Source organism: Homo sapiens, chromosome 4 (genome assembly GCF_000001405.40).
Source record: "Homo sapiens chromosome 4, GRCh38.p14 Primary Assembly".
Taxonomy (NCBI): Eukaryota; Metazoa; Chordata; class Mammalia; order Primates; family Hominidae; genus Homo; species Homo sapiens.
In genome coordinates, this window is record NC_000004.12 from 110,595,067 (window position 1) to 110,615,889 (window position 20,823).

Consider the following 20,823-nt stretch of genomic DNA (forward strand, 5'->3'; position numbering starts at 1 on the left):
ATGTTATATTTTGTTGTTTTCACTATCTTGATAGTACTTTAGTACTCTCAATATCTTTACCAATGTCTGTCATACTATACGACTCAAGCTATAAACAATATCCTACATTAGTGTAAGTCTAGAAGTGGATTATTAATAGATGATATGAAACCTTTATTCAATTGATGTAGCCAAAAAACACATAACATTTTTAAACAGTCTTACCATTGCCTCATGTTGAGATTGCTGCATAACAAATTATCCCATAACTTAGCCTGGTGTCATGGTGCATGTCTGTAGTCACAGCTATTTGGGAGGCTGATGTGGGAGGATCACTTGAGCCCAGGAGTTCAAGGCTGTAGTTTGCTACAATCGTGCCTGTGAATAGCCACTGCACCCCAGCTTGGGCAACATAGTGAGACCTTATGTCTAAAAATAAATAAAAAATAATTTAGAAATGTAGTGGCTGAGAACAACAATAAACATTTATTATCTCACACAGTTTCTATGGCTCAGGAATTTGGGAACAGCTTGGCTGGGTGATTCTGGTTCAGTGTCTCTCATGAGATTGTGGTTGATGTTTCAGCTGGGGCTACAATCCTCTGAAAGCTGTCTGAGGCTGAAGGTCTGCTTCTAAGATGGCTCTCTCACAAGGCTGTCAAGTTCATTCTAGCTCAGTTTCTTACCAATGAAATTCTCCATAGGACTGCATGAGTATCTTCATGACATGATATGACGGTTGTCTTCTCCCAGAATGAGTGATCTGAGACAGAGAGAAAGTGAGAGTTCCAAGCCACAATATCTATGTGCTAGCCTTTGAAATCACACATTGTCATTAACAAAATACACCATTGGTGCACAGGTCAGCTCTATTCAGTATGGGAGGCAGCTACACAGTAGCTTGAGTATCAGAAAGCAGGGATTATTTGGAGGTCATCTTGGAGGCTGGCACTAGAGTCTAACCTCTATCCCTCAATGACTAACCTCCATCCCACATGCAAAGAATACTTACATATTCTCAAGGCCATCAAAAATCTCGTTCCACAGTGAGAACACATGGACACAGGAAGGGGAACATCACACTCTGGGGACCGTTGTGGGGTTGGGGGAGGGGGGAGGGATAGCTTTAGGAGATATACCTAATGCTAAATGACGAGTTAATGGGTGCAACACACCAGCATGGCACATGTATACATATGTAACTAACCTGCACATTGTGCACATGTACCCTAAAACTTAAAGTATAATAATAATCAAATAAAATAAAATAAAAATAAAAATAAAATAAAATGTAAGATGCATGATGAAAAAAAAAATCTTGTTCCATTACAGCATCATCTCAAATCCTACAATCTTGCTGTCCCAAACAGACTTAGATGTGAATAAGGCTTTTTGAGTGTGGTTCCTCGAGTATAGTTCCTTGAGTAAAATTCCTTGATCTGAAGATCTGTGAACTAAAGAGCTAAAAAGTATGCTCTTCTTTACCCACATACACACCCAACATACAATGATGGGACATAAATAAGATAACCACTATAGACACTCCCGTTCAAAGTGTGGAAAACAAAAGGCATATAAGAGTCACTGATCCATAGCAATTTTGAAATCTATCTAGGCAAATATTGAATGCTCTTCACTAGTACTCATTCCTACTGCTTCTTGGGAATGATTTTCTATGACTTTGGCTTAGACCTTTGAAGTTTTGGTTTTACCTTCAGAGCCAAATTATTTTTCCATGAAAAGTAGCCTAGATTTGCAGCTGTATATTTTTCCTAGTCTGGTTCCTGCCTGTAGGAATTTGGAGGTACAAAAGCCTCTTTTCTTTTGTTCTCTTCAGTCCAAACTGTTGATGTTTCTAACAGTTAAATACTCTGAAAAACTTTGTGAGTCTCCTGTGAATCTTACTGGAGTTAATTCCATTATACAAAAGCCACACCTGCAAATCTGTTTGAGATAAGCTCTGCTCTACTTAAAGCCTGTGGTGAGATTATTCTTAAGCTTCTCTGAAGCTCTAATGTGACTTGATGGTTCTCTGAAGTACAACCTTAGATATTTCTAAGGTCTTAGCAAAGTATTTTATAACCACATCCTCAGCTTCATTTTTACACCATGGTTGTCTGACATCTGGCAATGTCTAAGTTTGGTCTTTGTCCAGAAGCCATTTCTTTATTTTAGCATTGTTTCCCATCTTGAGAGGCTAGCAATTTTCAAGGCCAACAAGTCTCAGCTTCTTGTGGTTTGATAATCTGTCCTTTAGCTTATTTTCTTCTTTGTCACATTTTACTATAAACAACAAGAAGAAACCAAGCAGCACCTTCCAAACTCTGACTGGAAGTTTTTTACCTAGATCATCCATTTTATTAGATACAATTTCCAGTTCCACAGTATTGCAGGTAATTGTATTGCTTAACTTTCTGCCACTATATTAAAACTATCCCCTTTTCCTCCAGTTTCTGATAATGTTTTCCTCAGCAGAAGCCTCCTCAGAGATGTCAGGCTTATTAATAATAGTCTATTGAAGACATTTTCAGCTTCCACTAACACTCTCTTCAACATCTTTCAGTTTCTGCCATTGCCTAATTCCAGTGCCTCTCCTATATACTTAAAATGTGTTAAAATGGCAGCAACTCACTTCCAAATATATTAGTTATCTATTCATGTGTAGCAAATAACCACAAAACTTGATGACTCAAAACAACAATAATGACTTATTATCTCATTCCTGAATTTGACAGCTGCTTAGCTAAATGGTTCAGGGTGTCTCATGAGGTTGAATTCAAGATATTGGCTGAAATTGCAGCATCAAAAAATTTGACCATGGCTGTAAATTCTGCTTCCAAGATGCTCCCTCACATGGCTGTTAAGTTCATGCTGGCTGTTGACAGACAGCCTCAGTTCCTTACCACATGGACATCTCCTTAGGGCTGTCTGTGTGTCCTCATAACATGGCAGCTACCTCCAGAGACAGTGATCAAAAAGAAAGCAAGGCAAAAGTTGCTGTATATTTTATGTGCTATCCTTGAATGGCACACATCGTTATTTCCACAATATTCTATTAGCTACATAGGGAAACTTCATTCATTGAAGGGGGGGTGGGGCATGACATTGCAGGAGAACGTTAATTATAGGAGCCTGGAATCATTGAGGCCATTGTGGAGGCTGGCTACCATATTCACTGAAGTCTCTAATAATTTAATTTTGAGATACTTCATCCCTTTAGGTATTAATTGATTTTTTGAAACCTAAACTGTACCCCTATGTATCATTAAGTTTTTATTGTAGTTTTAGTTCTGTATTTCAACCTCTTCAGATTTTTTTGAATTTTACTTCTGTCATATCAACAACACTCTTGAGCTTTGAATTATTAAGCATGCTAAGTTATAAAATTTTTGAAATCCAACTTATTAATAAAAATGTTGCTAAACACTTGTGTCTCCAGGCCTACATACACTTACAAAGTTCATAAAATAAGTACATATATCTTTACCTGCACTATTATAGAAATGACACACACACTAAATTCACTTTTTTTTGTTAGATATAAATAGGAGTCCAGTTCCCCCATGCACTATGATAATATAGTATACTAAGCAGTGGGCAACTCCAGGTTCACCAGGAACTCTAATATATTTTTTTAAAGGCTGGATTAATTATACTGACAAAAACCTTAAGAAGTGAGTACTAAAGATTATAAGTTCTAAATTTTCTAATTTGGAAAACTGAAACTTATAATCGAATTGCTAGAGTTGTACACAAAATACTAGCCTCTGGCAAAATTATGAGGTAGGATAAAGTCATCAAGAATACAGACAATGTTGTTGTTTTCTCCCCTTAGATTTAGCAAGGTGCCTTATTTCCAGTAGATCATTAACAAATATTTCTTAATTGATGAACTTGTTAATCAGTTATTGACAGATTATGCCCTGAAGTCTCTTGGTATCTGTATTAGTCAGTTTTCACACTGCTGATACAGACATACCCAACACTGGGTAATTTACAAAAGAAGGAGGTTTAATGGACTTACAGTTCCACGTTGCTGGGGAGGTCTCACAATCAAGGCAGAAGGTAAGGAGGAACAAGTCACGTCTTACATGGATGGCAGCAGGCAAAGAGAGAAAGAGCTTGTGCAGGGAAACTCCTCTTTTTAAAACCATCAGATCTCATGAGACTTATTCACTATCATGAGAACAGCATTGGAAAGAATTGCCCCCATGATTCAGTTACCTCCTACCAAGTCCTTCCCACAATACGTTGGAATTCAAGATGAGATCTGGGTGGGGACACAGCCAAACCATGTCAGTATCCAATTCCTCCTTCCCCAGGGAACCTTCCCTTGGCACCCTAAAAATGCCCCCCAGTGTTCCAAACTGAGAGTATTTTTAAATCTCCAACTATACAATCAAACTTTGACTAATTCTGATAAGGAAGAAGTTGGACATTCTAATAAAATTTAGGGAACATTTGTTGTCAATGCCTTAATCTATAATAGACTATCTAATGGTGTAGATTTCCTGATAAAGTTGACAAATAAATGAAAAGTTTGAGGCAAGCTTCTGGCTGCCTTGCAAACCATAACAATTGTCATTTCTTGATCTCTCAGTAAGGTCAATCTTAGATGAACATGTTGATTGTTTCATTCTTTACCAAACGTCTGGGCTTCCTGATGCTGGAATTCCAAAACTTTATTTCTTTTATAGCTGCCTTGCCATGAGTGATTCCCTTTCTTGTTCATCCAACTTAAGAAACTCCTCTTCAAATAAATAGCATTTCTGAGTTTTGTTAATAACATTCAGTCAGTCACATAAATTCAAAAACTTGAAGTTACTTGTTCTTTCTCTAAACCCTCTCATCCATTATTTGGTGGTCTTCCTCAGCTTTGTCTTCTTTTTTTCTCTACCATAATCCCAGTTTAAACCCTTTAGTTTACTTCTTGTTGCAGTTCATCTGGCCACATATTCTTGCCCCATTAACTCACTAAAGCACAGCCTCTTTCCATTTATTCACTGCTCAGAAACCCCAATGGAAATCCCATCTCCTCACTGCCTACACAATAAACTCTAAACTTCTTAGCCTAGTTTTCTATGTCTGCCACATTCTAGTCACAGTTTAGCGTTCCAGACTTATCTTCCACTATTACTTCACACTGGATTATTCTTGGTTCACCAAACTCATCCCACATCTACCATCAAGTCTTCATTTTTTTTCTTTTCTTCTTTTTTTGTTTGAGACAGGGTCTCACTCTGTTGCCCAGGCTGGAGTGCACTGTTGTGATCTCGGTTCACTGCAATCTCCGCCTCCCAGGCTCAAGTGATCCTCTCACCTCAGTCTCCAGAGTAGCTGGGATTGGAGGCACACCAACACACCCAGCTAATTTTTGTATTTTTTGTAGAGACGGAGTTTCACCACGTTGCCCAGGCTGGTCTCAAACTCCTGGGCTCAAGTGATCTTTCCACCTCAGCCTCCCAAAGTGCTAGGATTATAGGAGTGAACCACTGTGCCAGGCCTATTATCAAGACTTTACTATGCTTTTTACTCTGCCTGAAATGATTTTCTGATGCTTTTATTAAAACCCTGCCTGGCCGGGCATGGTGGCTCATGCCTGTAATCCCAGCACTTTGGGAGACCGAGGCAGGCAGAGCAAGAGGTCAGGAGATCGTGACCATCCTGGCTAACATGGTGAAACTCCGTCTCTACTAAAAATACAAAAATTAGCTGGGCATGGTGGCGGGTGCCTGTAGTCCCAGCTACTCGGGAGGCTGAGGCAGGAGAATGGCGTGAACCCAGGAGGCGGAGGTTGCAGTGAGCCTAGATGGTGCCACTGCACTCCAGCCTGGGAGACAGAGCGAGACTCTATCTCAAAAAAAATAAAAATAAAAAATAAAACCCTGCCCATCTTTCAAAGCCAAAATCAAAAGAAATCTCAAACATGATGCCTTGATCCTCCCAGCTAGAAGTATTCTCAATCCTTTCTGAAAGTCTATCATACTTTGTACCACTCCTAAGGTATTCACTGAATTCTAACATAAATTTCAGTTATTTGCCTACACGATTTATCTCTTCTTGTGTATTTTAAGCATCCTGAGAGCACAGGTTATCATTCTATGCATAGTAGTTAACACATCTGCCTTACTTAAAAGTGGTTCTTCCTGAGTTGGAATCATCATGAAATGAGTTGGCTAAGTATTATACATTGGTTTGGGGGTGCTGGGTAGGAGCACAGTATAGTGTGGTTAAGAGAAAAACCTTTAGAGGTCAAATGATCCCAGATTTAAATTCAATTTTACCAGTTACTAACTGAATGATCTTGGACAAATTAATTAATCTCTTGGTACCTTAAGTTCCTCATTGGTAAAATGGGAATAACAATGCCTATTTCATAGATTTGTTGTCAGAATTAAATGAGATATAAATTAGGTACAAAACACTTTTTTTTTTTTTGAGACAGTGTTTTGCTCTGTCGCCCAGGCTGGAGTGCAATGGCGTGATCACAGTTCACTGAAGACTTGACATCCCAGGCTCATGTGATCCTCCCACCTCAGCCTCCAGAGTAAGGAATGCACCACCATGCCTTGCTAATTTTTGTAGAGATTCAGTTTTGCCATGTTGTCCAGGTTGGTCTTGACCTCCTGGGCTCAAGCGATCCGCCTGCCTCAGCCTCCCCAAGTGCTGGATTTACAGGTGTGAGCCACCACACTTTGCCAAAACACTTACCTTAATAAATAATTATTTTCTTATCCTCTATTGTGCCTAGCACAGAGCCTTGTAATAGTGCTCAACAACTTTTTATTAAACAATTTAGAAAACAAAAACATATTATTAATTTTGATACATCTTAAATATGCACTTGTATTTAACAATTAAGAAAAATCTTAGATATAACAGAGAGGATAGAAATGGCAGAGTAGAGTAAGGAAATAAGATGTTGCTTTTTTTTAAGTGAGTGGGAAGAAATTTAATTTTTGACACAGACTGTGTCATCGTCTTAACAACAGAATATGCTGGGAATTCCTTAATATTTTCTAATGGGAAAACTGGAAAAAGCCAATTACCTACTGTTAGTTCTAATAGTTCACATCTTAAATTACATATAAAAATGTTTAAATACTGAAGTTTATGGGAGGCCTGGGCAGGCTTCAGATTCTCAGCCATTGGGGAATTTTTGTGCCGGACCACCCACTGCGAAAGTGAAAAGTTGGTACCTTTGCCAGTGTGGATATCTCTTCAGAGGAGTGCTCTAGGCTACTGTAACCATTTCCCCCAGGAAGACTAAGAGGGGAAAAAGTACATGAGAAATTACTGGACAAACACTGTTTGTCCAAGTTTCAAAGTAATAACCAAAGCTGGAATTAATGCCCTTAACATCACCACTCTCCCTAACCTAAATCTGTTTACATAGATTTAGGCTGACTTGTTTTGAGTCTGCTTCTTGTGGGGACACAAACTTATATGAATAAAGCTAGAATTTCAAGGCAAGTCACGCTATTTAGTTATAGTTTGTTTCAATTTTTTTGTTTATTTTTAATCATCTTTCTCAAAATTGTCTTTAGAAACAAGTCATTCAAGCAATTTATATTTGAAATTCCATTACATTTTTGGGGGATAAACTTATAAAAGCAAAAGAGACATCCAAATAGTGGTAGGTTAAACCTGGAGAAGGTATGGAAAGGTGCACCTAATCTTTACTCATAACGTTTACATTTTGTAAAGACTAATATTTAACATCTTTTATTTTAAAGATATCATCTCATCTATAATTAGGAACAGTGTGAAAATCTAGTGTCTTGGACTAATGTAGAGCAGCTGTTTATGAAAGTGCCTGAAACATAATAGATCTCCAATAAATATTATTGTGTTGGCGAAAAAGCTTAACAGGTGTGGGTGTGTATACACAACTCTCCTTCCTCACCCCCTCAATAATTCCCAGGCAGTGTTTGTAGAGGGCCACTAGAAGATGAAATTTTTCTACTTACACATGAACATCTGAGGATTCCAAAAGACTATCCCAAATCCTGACTTCAAAGGCACTTTATTTGCTCTCTGGGGGAGAGATTATTTATGGGGGAGGGAGGGAACACTAGTCTACTGAATCAGGAAGTCTTTTCCAAGTGACAGAAACCCAATTTGAACCACTTTAGGCAAAACAGGAAATATGCTGACCAGAGTAGCAAAATCTCAGGAAGGGCATTTAACTGGACCTCCAGGATCATAGTAACAGACAGGAGAGACAGCAGGACTCTCTCTCCCTCCAACTCTCATCCGTGCTTCTCTCTGAGTCTGTGTTACCAGAGACTGAAATCTTCTGCCCTGGAGAACCTGGGCTTTTGACAACTCATCTCTTCATCATGAAAAGGACTGCTTCTCTTTTCAAAATTATCATTTGAAGATTCCTGTGGAAGGACACAAAAGGCAGCCAAGCTCACGTGCCTACTCTTGTGGACACAAGAGATCAGTTCTAGAATTGGCAGCATCCATTAGAACAATATAGCACAAATAAAGAGAAGAACGGGTTCCCCCCAAAGAGGACAGTTCTGTTTCCAGAAAGGGGGGAGGAGCTGGGCAGACAAAATAAGTGTTTCTAAGATTATATTTTTAAAAACCATAACTATATTTACTAAATGTGAAATAAAGATGTCTTTTTCAGTTGCTTTCGATTTTCCATAAAATGTTTTTCTTTGCCTTCTAGTGTTTATCTCATCTTTCTTCTGGCGCAAATGCTTTTCTTACACAGCATCACCAAGTCCTATCCCTTCCTTCCTCCAAATCTGCACTTAATATTTACTTCCTTGGACTTCAGGTAAAATTTGGTGAATTGACTACATTTGTTTCTCTCTGTTTTCCCCAGAGTGCTATGAAAGTGGCAACAGAAAAGAAAAAATAAATAAATCCCCAAGTGCAGAGGAGGAGAGAGACCATAATAGATGAAAAGTGATGAAAAATTTGGGAATATAGAATGTAGGTGGTGTATTAACTATTACAAAGCAACAGATTACCCCAAAATTTAGCACCTTAAAACAATAAATATTTGTTATCTCATCCCAGTTTTGAGGTTGAAGAATCTCACAGCAGTTTAGCTAGGTAGTTCTAGCTCAGAGACTCTCAGGAGGTTGCATTTAAGTTGTTTTCTGGGGCTGCCATTATTTGAAGAGCTGGAGAATCTGCTTCCAAGCTCACTCACATGGCTGTTGGCAGGAGGTTTCAATTTCTCACCATAAAGCTGCTCATGAAATGCTAATTACAATGGAAAAAGCATAATGTTAATAGAGAAGCAAATAAATAACTTTTAAACATTAAAGTAATGAAGCAGATACCACCTTAAGTAATGAATTAACATAATCAAGTATTGAAAAATCACTATGTGTGCCTCCTGATATGACGCAGTAAGAACATTGCAGCACTATGATATCCTGAATATCATAAAAAATATATAATCTGAATCTAATCATGCAAAAATAGCTCAAAGGGCAAGCTGTGAGATGCTATAAAATTACTGATCTCTAATCTTCAAACGTGTTAAGTTCATAAAAGTGTGTTAGGTGCTTTGATATGGTCATGGAAACACACAGGAGGGGCACGTTGACCTAACCTAATGCCAGAGTGTCAGGGAGGCCTTTCTCAAAGTAGGGACATCTAAGCTGAGATCTGAAGTTAGCCTCAAAAAGGGTCAATGGGGGTGGAGAGAAGCAAGAAAGGAGTGAACAGGTCATAATGTACAAGACCAAGGAAAAAAATCACTTGATCTTATGCCAACTGATATGTGTGTATGTATATATATGTATATATACACAAACATACATACGTATATATGTGTATATTTTTGTATTTATATGTGTATATATATAAAGGAGGTATGTGTATACATATGTGTGTGTGTATATATCCTTTCCTTAATATCAGCAAGTTGGCTGCTTTTCCTATCATGTCTAAAATGTCACATGTCAAACTGCCTTGACAAGTTGTCCATTGCTTTAGTGTAGGAAATGTGCACTGAAACACACGTGAAAGAGTAAAACATCTTTACCTTTGATTGGCTCAGTTACTATAATCTCTATCTTTTTCAATCACTACTCATAAGATAACTAGGAAATACTATTTTCATAACACTTTTAATTTATAAGTAATATTTTCTAATCACATCAGCAGAAAGTGATACAGAAGACTAGCAGTTCTTTGGTCCTGTCATATTGTGCCTAACTTGAGTCCTATTCTAGTTTTGACTCTGACACTCATTACTCAGGCAGCCTGAGGCAAGTTACTTCTGAGAATCAGTTTTCTTATCTGTCAAATAAGGAAATAATATTATCTACTTTATAGGATTGCTGTGAGAACTGATTGAGATAATATTAACATATCAAAGGCACTGGCGCAGTTCCTGGCTCATAGAAAGTACTCAACAAACTATCTTCTGCATCACTGTATATTGTTATATTTAGAGATGGTTATGAATAAAATAAAGGTAAAAAATGTTAAGAGTACTGTGAAAGCCTGGGTGCGGTGGCTCACGCCTGTAATCCTAGCACTTTGGGAAGCCGAGGCAGGCGGATCCCCTGAGGTCAGGAGTTCAAGACCAGACTCAACATGGAGAAATCCTGTTTCTACTAAAAATACAAAATTAGCCGGGAGTGGTGGTACATGCCTGTAATCCCAGCTATTTGGGAGGCTGAGGCATGAGAATTGCTTGAACCTGGGAGGCGGAGGTTGCGGTGAGCAGAGATCATGCCATTGCACTCCAGCCTGGGCAACAAGAGCGAAGCTCTGTCTCAAAAAAAAAAAAAAAAAAAGAGTACTGTGAAAATAATATTGACCCATTGCTTTATGAGAGTGTAGATAATTTTTAAAATTATAGTGACTGAGACAACCAAAGATAATGTGTCAAATCTGTTACCTTTTTGTGAGTTCCCAGTCATCTTCCCCCTTGGTTTCTGGAATCTCCAGCCATCTACCCTTCCCTGCAGTGCTGACCAGGACTAGTGGTTTTCCACTAGAGACTGGGGTCTTTGAAAGTTCTGCAGGCATTGCAAAACCCACTGCATCAAAATTCATTAAAATTTCTCTACCATTCCAGTCCCTATCATTTTATTTATTTGTTTGTTTATATATGTATTATTTATTTATTTAGCACAATGAGGTGAAACTTTTTTTTTTTTTGGTATATATTAAGAGTTACCAAATGTTCCATGGATGTTTCATCAAAGGTAACACCATTCTTCCCACTGTTTGCAGTGAAGTGTGTCTAGTTTGTTGTTTAGGTAACAGCTGGAAAGTAGAAGTGGATATGGTCAGTGTTCTAAGGAATATTCTACCACCCAGAAATTCATCAAAAATATGTGAGGCCTACTGGACAAAAATGAGCAGAAATAAAAATAACTGTAACTTATTTGGTCTGTGACCCTAATCAAAGTCTGATTGGGTTAAGTATTTTTTTTTTTTTTTTTTTTTTGACAGAGTCTTTCTCTGTTTCCCAGGCTGGAGTGCAATGGCAATATCTTGGCTCACTGCAAACTCCACCTCCCAGGTTCAAGCAATTCTCCTGCCTCAGCTTCCCAAGTAGCTGGGATTACAGGTGCCCACAACCACTCCTGGCTAATTTTTGTATTTTTATTTATATATATATATATATATATATATATATATTTATTTATTTATTATACTTTAAGTTCTAGGGTACATGTGCACAACGTGCAGGTTTGTTACATATGTATACATGTGCCATGTTGGTGTGCTGCACCCATTAACTCATCATTTACATTAGGTATATCTCCTAATGCTATCCCTTCCCCCTACCCCCACCCCACAACAGGCCCCAGTGTGTGATGTTCCCCTTCCTGTGTCCAGGTGTTCTCATTGTTCAATTCCCACCTATGAGTGAGAACATGTGGTGTTTGGTTTTTTGTCCTTGCGATAGTTTGCTGAGAATGATAGTTTCCAGCTCCATCCATGTCCCTACAAACAACATTAACTCATCATTTTTTATGGCTGCATAGTATTCCATGGTGTATATGTGCCACATTTTCTTAATCCAGTCTATCATTGTTGGACATTTGGGTTGGTTCTAAGTCTTTACTATCGTGAATAGTGCCACAATAAACATACCTGTGCATATGTCTTTATAGCAGCATGATTTATATTCCTTTGGGTATATACCCAGTAATGGGATGGCTGGGTCAAACGGTATTTCTAGCTCTAGATCCCTGAGGAATCACCACACTGTCTTCCACTAAATTTTTGTATTTTTAATAGAGATGGGGTTTTGCCATGTTGGCCAGGCTGGTCTCAAACCACTGACATCAGGTGATCCACCCACCTCAGCCTCCCAAAGTGCTGGGATTACAGGCATGAGTCACCACACCCAGCCTGGGTTAAATCTTTTTTTGTTGTTTTTGGATCAATATTTTTAATTTCTTAGGTTTTTATGTCTCTAAGAATTAAAAAAAACTTTGTCCATAATATATTTTGATACAATATATTTTACTACAAATTGTGAGCAGTGAAATTTTAAAAAGCATAAAGTAAGGGAGAATTGGACATCATAATCCCTTAACTAGTAAAATGACTCTAGACAATCGTGAGCTGGAAACTTCTGTCATCTACGTGTCTCCCACCCTTTTATACTCCCCTTACCACACATATTCCCCAAACTAGATTTTTTAAAACTTCTTTATTTTAATAATATATTAGGAAATACTAAAATGTGTTCAGTATCTTATGAACCCTGATCATGATTCACCATCCTAAAACTGCTCTGATGTAGGGAAGATGCTGGCAGTGTTGAAAAACATTATGACAGAATTTCTGCTAAAGAATTCTTTTACATGTCTAGTTTGTTTGGAAAAGGATTAGAAATTAATTAGAATTAATCTGAGATTCAATTTATGCCAATTCAATAGACTTTAATGTTTTTGAACTTTTATTTTTGTGAACAAAGATTTTAATTGTAACATTTGATCAATAGGCATTTATTGAACATCTACTCCGTTACAAGGTATTGTGCCAGGCCACCACAAGAAGCTAAAAAAAAAAAAAGACCCGCAAAATCTTAACTCATAATAAAACACCCCATATGGTAATTGCCAAAGGAGTAATATGGATGAAAGTTAGTTTGGGAGTATGGGAACAATAATTGCTCAGAAATAAAATGAAAAAGTAAAAAGGGAGAGAGTTATGAGATTTAGAATTAACCTTTAAGTGAGATTTTGGAAGAAGTTAGAAAGGAAAAGAAGGAACCAAAGGAGGGTGAAATGGGGCAGCCCTTCTGTGGAATAAAAGATGTTTCAACCAAGTTCTAATCTAATGAGTTGCAGGATGACAATGAAGGTGTTTCTCAACTGTACAAGGAAGAGAAATCACATTAAAATACTGCCGAGCCAATAAAAAGAGGATATAACACAAGAAAAACAAATGCATTTGTGTGAAAGATATGTAAAGTTTAGTACATCAACTTTATAAACTGTTTCAGTGTTTTCTTGGAACACACAAATTTGACAATGTGTGTGAGTCCACAGATGGTAGTTTCAGGAGAGGAGGAGCTTTCAAGGTGAGAATGGCAAACTGGAGATTTCCCACTTTGGTGGCCATAATGCCAATGGTCATATTGCCTGGGCGAAAGAAGCCTGCTCACTCACTCTCCCAGCCTCTCCAGCATGCAGTGGGGCTTTATTAAAGAGTGTGCACAGTCCTTTTTGTGCTCTGAAAAGACAAGCTATACAATATTGCATGCTTTACTTATTCTACCAGAAACTTGTATTGTTCATAGAAGTACTCCATATTCATACGTACAAATGGTTTACAGGTAGACTCTTGACTGAATAAAATAATGTATCATACCTGGAAAAGTGAACACTACAAACAATCTGAAGCCTTAATTCAAAAGAAAGGATAAGCAGGGCATAATCCAGGAGCAGCCAAAATTCTGGGGAGAGTCACCTGATGTAGAAGAAGGGCAATAATAAAAGGAGGAAATGAAGAAGGTAGAAAATAAAGGGAAGGTAAAGAAAAGGAATGGAGAGAGACTTCAATTTCTCTCATCCATGAAGCTGTGTTGACAGCTATTCCTAATCCAGCATTCTCTGACAAGGCATTTTGTATAAATGTGGTGTCCAGCAGAGACTTTGTGTTGCCAGGCTGCTCCAGCCACTGTGGCCTCATCCTCTCTCCACCTCCATGGTGGCACCCCACCCAGATTCCTTTCTTGTCAAACTTGTTTCCAGTCACCCAAGCCCTCTAGTCTGTGACCTCTTGGTCAAACTGTCTGTTACCCAGGACACAAATAGATCGAGGGTGTCAGATAACATGGTAATTTGGTGGGGGAGAAGAGGGTTTGAGTGAACACTGCAATACCCTTTAGAATACTCCTTTCCCCAACTACTCAAACCCTTAAAAGTAAATGCCCTTTCTCCACCTATGTTTCTCTGTCTCTAAGTCACTGAAAAGCAACTGAGCGTGTGATTCATACTTCTTTGTATTTATTTGCTTCGATGCATTCATTGTCTCTCTAGAGCTAACTTAGTGGAACATTTGAGTCAATTCTATTTTTCTTGGGAGAGTGGAATAACATAAAGTTGGGTGCTGACGAAGTTGATCTGTATTGCTCTGTAGGAATGACATAGAGCATTGTGTGCACTGCAGTTAGAGCAGCGACACTACATGAAGTGATGAACACTCTGTAACCACATCTTAAACAGAAAGCCATTTTCTCTGAGAACGAACTGATTGGTGATGTCCAATTAATACACATACACAGCACTTGTCACATTGTTGATGCCTGCTGAGACTCTGGAAAGCCTTGTTTACTGCATGTCTCCGCTGCCACCCTCCATCCCCTGCCAGAAATTCTCAGGATCACTATACAGGCTGTGAACACACTGAAGCAGGAGCAGTGGCCTTTGAAGAAGCTAGGATGTGACCTTGAGAGTAATGCAACGATGCAGCGTTCTCAGCAGACATGCACACCAGCACAGCCACTTTCTCACACCCCTAAGTATAGAGATTTGAGTGAATGCTCTCAGCAAAACTTCTGTTCCAATAAACAAGTCAGAGGTAGGGTCCAGGTTGAGGCGGAGTGTGCCATCTGTTCAAAATATATATATATATATATATATATATAGTGTGTGTATATATATATACAGATACACACACACTAAGAGGTTATAATGAGTCAGGCATGCATTTAAATAAAACTATTTTGTATAAGAAAAAAAGAATCTTCTTAAGAGGTACAGGAATTGCTCTGCAGGTTGGCTGGCAATTCCTGAAAGCCCTAATAATATCACATCTCCCTTTTGCTTGCACCCACCTTATCTCAGATTTTTCTTCAATGGGGGCGGGGGACGGGGGGAACAGAGGTTAGGCAGAGGGAGAGAGACAGAGATACAGAAACAGAATCATCTTCCTATTCAGGAATTTGCTCAGTGCCTGAGTCAGTAATGTTTCCAGGTGAGGGCACAGGAACTTAGGATGTGCACTGTCTTGAATTCTTCCTTCAGCTCTGTTATCTTTTGGTAAATTCTGTATATTTTGACTGGGCACGTGGGCCTAGCACATAAGTCAGTGCAGACGTATCATTTTACTTTCCATTACTTATGTGTAAAGAAAAAACAAATAGGTCAGAGTCGGAAGGAGGCAGGGTCCAGACCAGTTGTGGGTGGGATCGGATAGGAGCCTAGGACTTCAGCGCGACCTCAAGCCAGGACTTCTGCGAGGTCTCAGGTCCGAGGGCCAGGTCGGGCGCCGGTTGCACCGCCCACCGCGCGCCTCCCCTTCGTCCCCAGGCCCTGGTCCGGGGCTCTTGCTGCCACTCCCAACCCACTGAGCCCTGCCTCCTGGGATCCCACCCCGGGCGCCAGGGATGGCAGCAGAGCGACCTTTCTCGGCCCTGTGGACAGCCGCTCCTCCTAGACTCCAGCTTTCCCCCACTAACTTTTATAAGAGATGAAAAGCTGTTCACACGTTCTCAAGTGTGAAAGAAAAGGAAATTCTCTTGTGTTAGAAGCCCTGAACCTCAAACTCCGCAAGGAGAACGGTTGACTCAGTCACCCCCCTTCCTCCAGTCCCTCATTTGTCCTCCGCTTCCTGCGGCTGAACGGTCCTTGATAAGTGGCCTCCAGAAGATTCGGTACTTTGGGCCAGGGGCAAGGCTGGGGCTGCTCTAGGTGCAGAACTCTCTATAGGTCCTCTCTCCCAGGACCGGATAGATGATTCATTTTTATACGTAACGTTTTACCCCAGTCTATTCCCGCAGCTGGTTAATGTTCAACCCCCGGGCCTCGAGAGGCAGCTCCAAGGAGGCAGGCAGGCATGACCCATTCAAGGTATATGGCTGCTCGGGAGTGAAGGCGCGGAGGCCCGAGAAAGGGTGAGAAGGGATGTGGCGGGGGGCTCCTCCGGCCCTGGACTCCCTGGGTGGACTAGAAAAGGGCAAAGAAGTGGTCACATCTGTGGGCCAGACTGGTGCGCGATCTTTGGAGGCGCAGCAGCAAGGCCGCGCCAGGGCTGAGCCCAGACCGCCCACGAGGAGGCCCGCCAGGCCCGGAGCAGCGGCGCGTGCGGGGGCGTGCCGAGCGCAGGCTCTAGGGCCCCTGCTTCGCCCCAGCTGGACCCCGCGGGCGGTCGGTGCAGCTCGAGCGTGTGGGCTGCGATGCCCTGCCTGAGACTTCGGGCTAGGGATGCGGGCGGGAAGTGGGGGTGCGGCGGCAGCTGCAGATTAGATTCCTTTTTTTTTTGGCCGGAGGGACGTGCAAACTTCTAGTGCCCGGGCCAAGAGGGCGACCCCGGAGGTGCGTAGGTGGCCCTCCGGGTTCCCGCTTCTCCTAGTGCCTCTGAAAATACCGTCAGGGTAAAGGGAGACAGGCAGTAAGTCTTACCACCACCGCCCTTTCCCCATGTCATTGGCCAAAAACTGAACATTAAGATAAAGCAGCTGTTTCAGTCAATGGAAAGCGGTAGGGCGAGGTTGTACCCAAAACCCGGTTTAGACGGCCAATGAAGTCCTAGGAAAAGCCGCCCCGGGGGCACGTTCAGGTGGAGCGGCTGCACCTCGGGTCGTTCTAAGGGATGGGCTGCGTGGTACCCACGGAATTCATGGGTCCAAAAGGTCCTGGTCACCTGTCCAAACATCCATCCCCTGGCGCATGGCGGTTGACAAGATGGCCCGGCCACCCAGAGGAAGGAGGATCCGGGACGGGGAACTTCGCGCCGGGAAGCTGTAGCCCAGAGCTGCAGCTCAGCATTCGCAAGAGATTCATCTTTTTTTTCTCTCGTGTTCGGAGAAACAGATAAACAAGACACCGCCTCATCAGATAAGAACGTCTCCTTCGATGTCACGGATTTCAAGAGGTAGCTGGAGAAACTGACGTCAGGAGTGTCCTGTGAATGAACATCGCCCGAGGCCTAGCACCCACAGAAGAAGGGTTCTATTTTACTCTACTTTGCTTGATATTATTTATTTTCTAACAAAGTGATCCGTAGTCTGCAACCTTAGGCTCTGACAGGCAAAGCCCATTTCTTAGCTCTGGGGATGGCTTGCAGGGTCTCCACCTCTGTCCACTTTGGTGTCCTCTTTCTCCCTTCGGCTCCCCACCTCCATCCCCCGAGCCCACACACAGCGGGGTGAAGCTGTCGGGGAGACTCGTGGGCAACCAAATGCAGGCACCCTCTGAAGAGACGCCGAGAAGGCCCTGCATTCGATCCGGGAGGACATAGAAAGATGCCATGAAGTTCTATTGGGTGCAGCAAGCCGTTCCCCACGCACACTCCCCGTGATACCTGCCCAGAGAAGCAGAAGCAGTTTCGAGGGCTGTTGACACAGGCAGAGCGGGGAAACGCGCCCAAGAATTGGGCTGCCACTGGTATGGGTCCCAAGTCACATTCAATAAGCTGCCCACCGCTTTCTGGGGGACAGCAGTGGTGGTTCTAGGTCTCATCTTTCCAGAGCGACGAGGATAAAAGTTCCTGCCCAGGACTGTGTGCGAGGGGGTCCCGCACTGCTGCAAACTCTCAGCGGAGGCAGAGAGGCTTTGCTGTTTCTGGAGAGAGGAAGCATTGGCAGAGGCAGTCTCCGGGCTGTGAGGAATCCACCCTCATGCCTTAGTGTGGGTACGTCAGGTCCCAGCATCAGCGGGCCATTTCCTCAGTTGCATGAATGGAGGAAAAACCAAACCAAACCAAACCAAACCAAACCAAACCAAACCAAACCAAACCTTGGCTGTGGACAAAGAAAACAGGAGAGGGAGAGGATGGAGGAGAAAAAGAGCACGAGGGAGGGCAAACACCTTAAACATTTTTTGCCGTAAGACTAGAAGAACTAGGTCTGGAAAGATCCATCAAAGTCCCAGGGTGCAGACACACACCCTGCCCAGGGAGAGCCCAGTGAGTCTGAACTTCTCTTAGTCCTTCTGAAGGAAGGAAATTTAAAAAGCACCTCTCACTACCACCAAAAAGTAAACACTTTTACCATGTAGTCATTACATGTTTTTGAATTTTTTTAATTGTAAGGAATTTAGATGGCTCTTATAGCCATTCTTCTGCAGAGTAACTTAAGCTTCAAATAGCTCCTGTTTTCCACAACTACCACTGAACTGTAGAAATGTATTGTTACAAAAGGAGTAGAAATGACTTTTAAAGGTAATTAAGTATAATTAAATATATCTTCAGGGGGTATTTCATTTCTTGCAGGATTCTCTACTCTTCAAAAAAATCTAAAATCAACATTTACATTTTAAAAATGCATAAAATACTCAGCACAGAAGTGAATGAAGTTATGCATCCCAAACACAGTAAATTCTGCTTTCTATCTTTTCAGATAGACAGTCAACAATGGGAAGTCCTCCCTTTGGGGAGGGGGCAGGGAAGGGTGGGAGGGGCCAAGTGTGATAAATTTTTAAGATTAGAGTAAAATTTCCCTGGGTTCATCTGCTAGAACCTGAAAAGGTAAATCAGTTACGTGTTTACAATGGTGTTTCTACTTAACCCCCTTAAAAAAAAAAACTCGAATTACCATTTTCTCAAGTTCAGTTAATGAAATGTTTGGGAACCTGGGGAAGAAAAGCTATTTTTAAAAAAATTCCTTCTGAAAATCTGCTACCAGAAATTCCTCTCGTTTACTTCCAGACTTCTTCAGTCAACCACGTTTCTTGCTTCCCGGTGTGCTTAGATTAACTGCAGTTCCTCAGGGGGTTTATAAATCAATCAATAGGGAGTCTATATTCATAAAGGCCTCTGATCTAATTACACCCCCTCCTTTTTTCCCCCTCTCTAAAAAAGTTAAGTCGCGGAGCCAGGGACTCCCAGGGTAGCTCCGTCCACTAAGGGCGGCTGGAGGCTGGGGAGTCCCGGCGACGGCGGCGGGGGCATCCGTGGATTAGGATGTGGATTGCAGGACAGACCTTTGTTTGGTCACATTCGCGACAGGGATTGGGGGAAGGGTCGTCCTCCTTCGAGATCACGCTGGATTTTTATAGACTCGCCTTAAAAGGGCTCACTCTTCACAGGGTTAATTTATACGGCTTTCGAGGAATATTAGGACTTTTAAGACGCTGTTTATATTGTCCCATTAATTTTTTTGTTACACTCCTAACCCCCACCCCTACACCCCCCGGCTTCAGCATCTAATAGAAAGGGGGTGGGGGTGAGGGAAAAAGCAGGGCAAGGAGGCGAAGAGAATTTGCCTTCTAATCAAACTACTTACTCGGCCCAGGCTCTCCAACATGTTTTTAAAAATTAAATTTCTAACCAAGTCGTAAACACTAAAACTCAGATTTAGGAATTGGGAGGAAGGAGAGACAATCATGGGCTGTATACACCTTTTCCCAGGTCTCCACTAATCTGAAATCGGTATTAGCGGAATGAAGACTTTGGGGCCTTGGAAATTTTTAAAGAGGTTTACTTTTTTTTTTTTTTTTTAATAAAACAAAACCCGAGGATAGGCCAAAGATACCGAGAGAAGAAAAGGTGCCTGCTAGTAACAGGTGAGGGATGGAAGGGGGTGGCGGGGAGAAAGCCCCCAGACGGCGGATCGTCTGCGCGGGGTTCCTGCCCCAGGCCTGGCGAACCTCTGAGCGCTCAAGGAGCACGGCGGCAGTGCGCTGAGGCCAGTGAGGCCTGGGCGCCTCCGGGCCCAACCTCGAGCTCGCCATTTTTGAACCCAAGCGGGGAAGGTTGGTGCTCATGCTATAGATTATGTTAAAGGTTCCTTTAAGCACTTTAATACACAACTAGCTCAGAAATCATTAAGAGACCTAGAGAAGGAGAAAAAATACCCTCACACTCACCGGTAATAAGTGTTGACATGCAGCAAAAATCGGTTGAGTGGAACCGAGGTGGTGGTTGCAGCGACGGCTAGAGGGGGACCCGTGCAGGGGCGGGAGGGGCGAGGGGACTGACTGCACCGGCTCTGGGAGCTAGGTTTCTCTCGCTGGATGGGAAAAGGAGGTGCGGAAAGGGGCAGGCGGCCTGCGGGCTAGCGGGGATGAGAGTTGTGGGGAGAACGGAGGAGAGAGTAAAATTATTCCTTTTGGAAGTCCAAGGGAAGGGAGCTGAGGTGAGAGAAATGGCCTCTCTTAGGTCCCAAGTCTCCGCCCCCAGCCTGCACCACTCAAGTCGGGGAAGTGACAACTCTTCCTAAACCTCGACTTCCATTTTTTGTTTCCTGCAGATTGATTGATGTCCTCGCGTTGTTCTAGTTCAGCAACCAAACTAGGCCGAGGTACACCTCTTTTACCCAGAGCTCCCAAATCACTCACCAACCTGCAGGAGACCTAAATCCTCCGGGCAGGTCTCGTTAGCGCTTCCAGCCCCCATCCCCAAATCCCCTCTTCTAGCTCCTTCCTTCCCCTCCGCCCTTTGGCCCTCCCC

The 20,823-nt window shown here is 41.9% G+C and overlaps 2 long non-coding RNA genes across 3 annotated transcripts; one reads left to right on the top strand and one right to left on the bottom strand.

Annotated features, from left to right (window-relative positions):
• Positions 1-446: 446 nt before the first annotated feature.
• Positions 447-20,392, bottom strand: PANCR (PITX2 adjacent non-coding RNA). 2 transcript variants are annotated; one of them, NR_147204.1, is made up of 4 exons: positions 20,241-20,392; positions 11,144-11,232; positions 8,985-9,207; positions 8,295-8,366 (listed from the first exon to the last, which is right to left on the bottom strand). It is a non-coding gene; the product is annotated as a PITX2 adjacent non-coding RNA (long non-coding RNA). The 2 variants fall into 2 exon arrangements; NR_147203.1 differs by lacking the exons at positions 8,295-8,366; positions 8,985-9,207; positions 11,144-11,232 and adding an exon at positions 447-742.
• LOC105377363 (uncharacterized) lies at positions 16,277-18,437 on the top strand. The gene is made up of 2 exons (XR_939071.3): positions 16,277-16,327; positions 17,247-18,437. It is a non-coding gene; the product is annotated as an uncharacterized LOC105377363 (long non-coding RNA).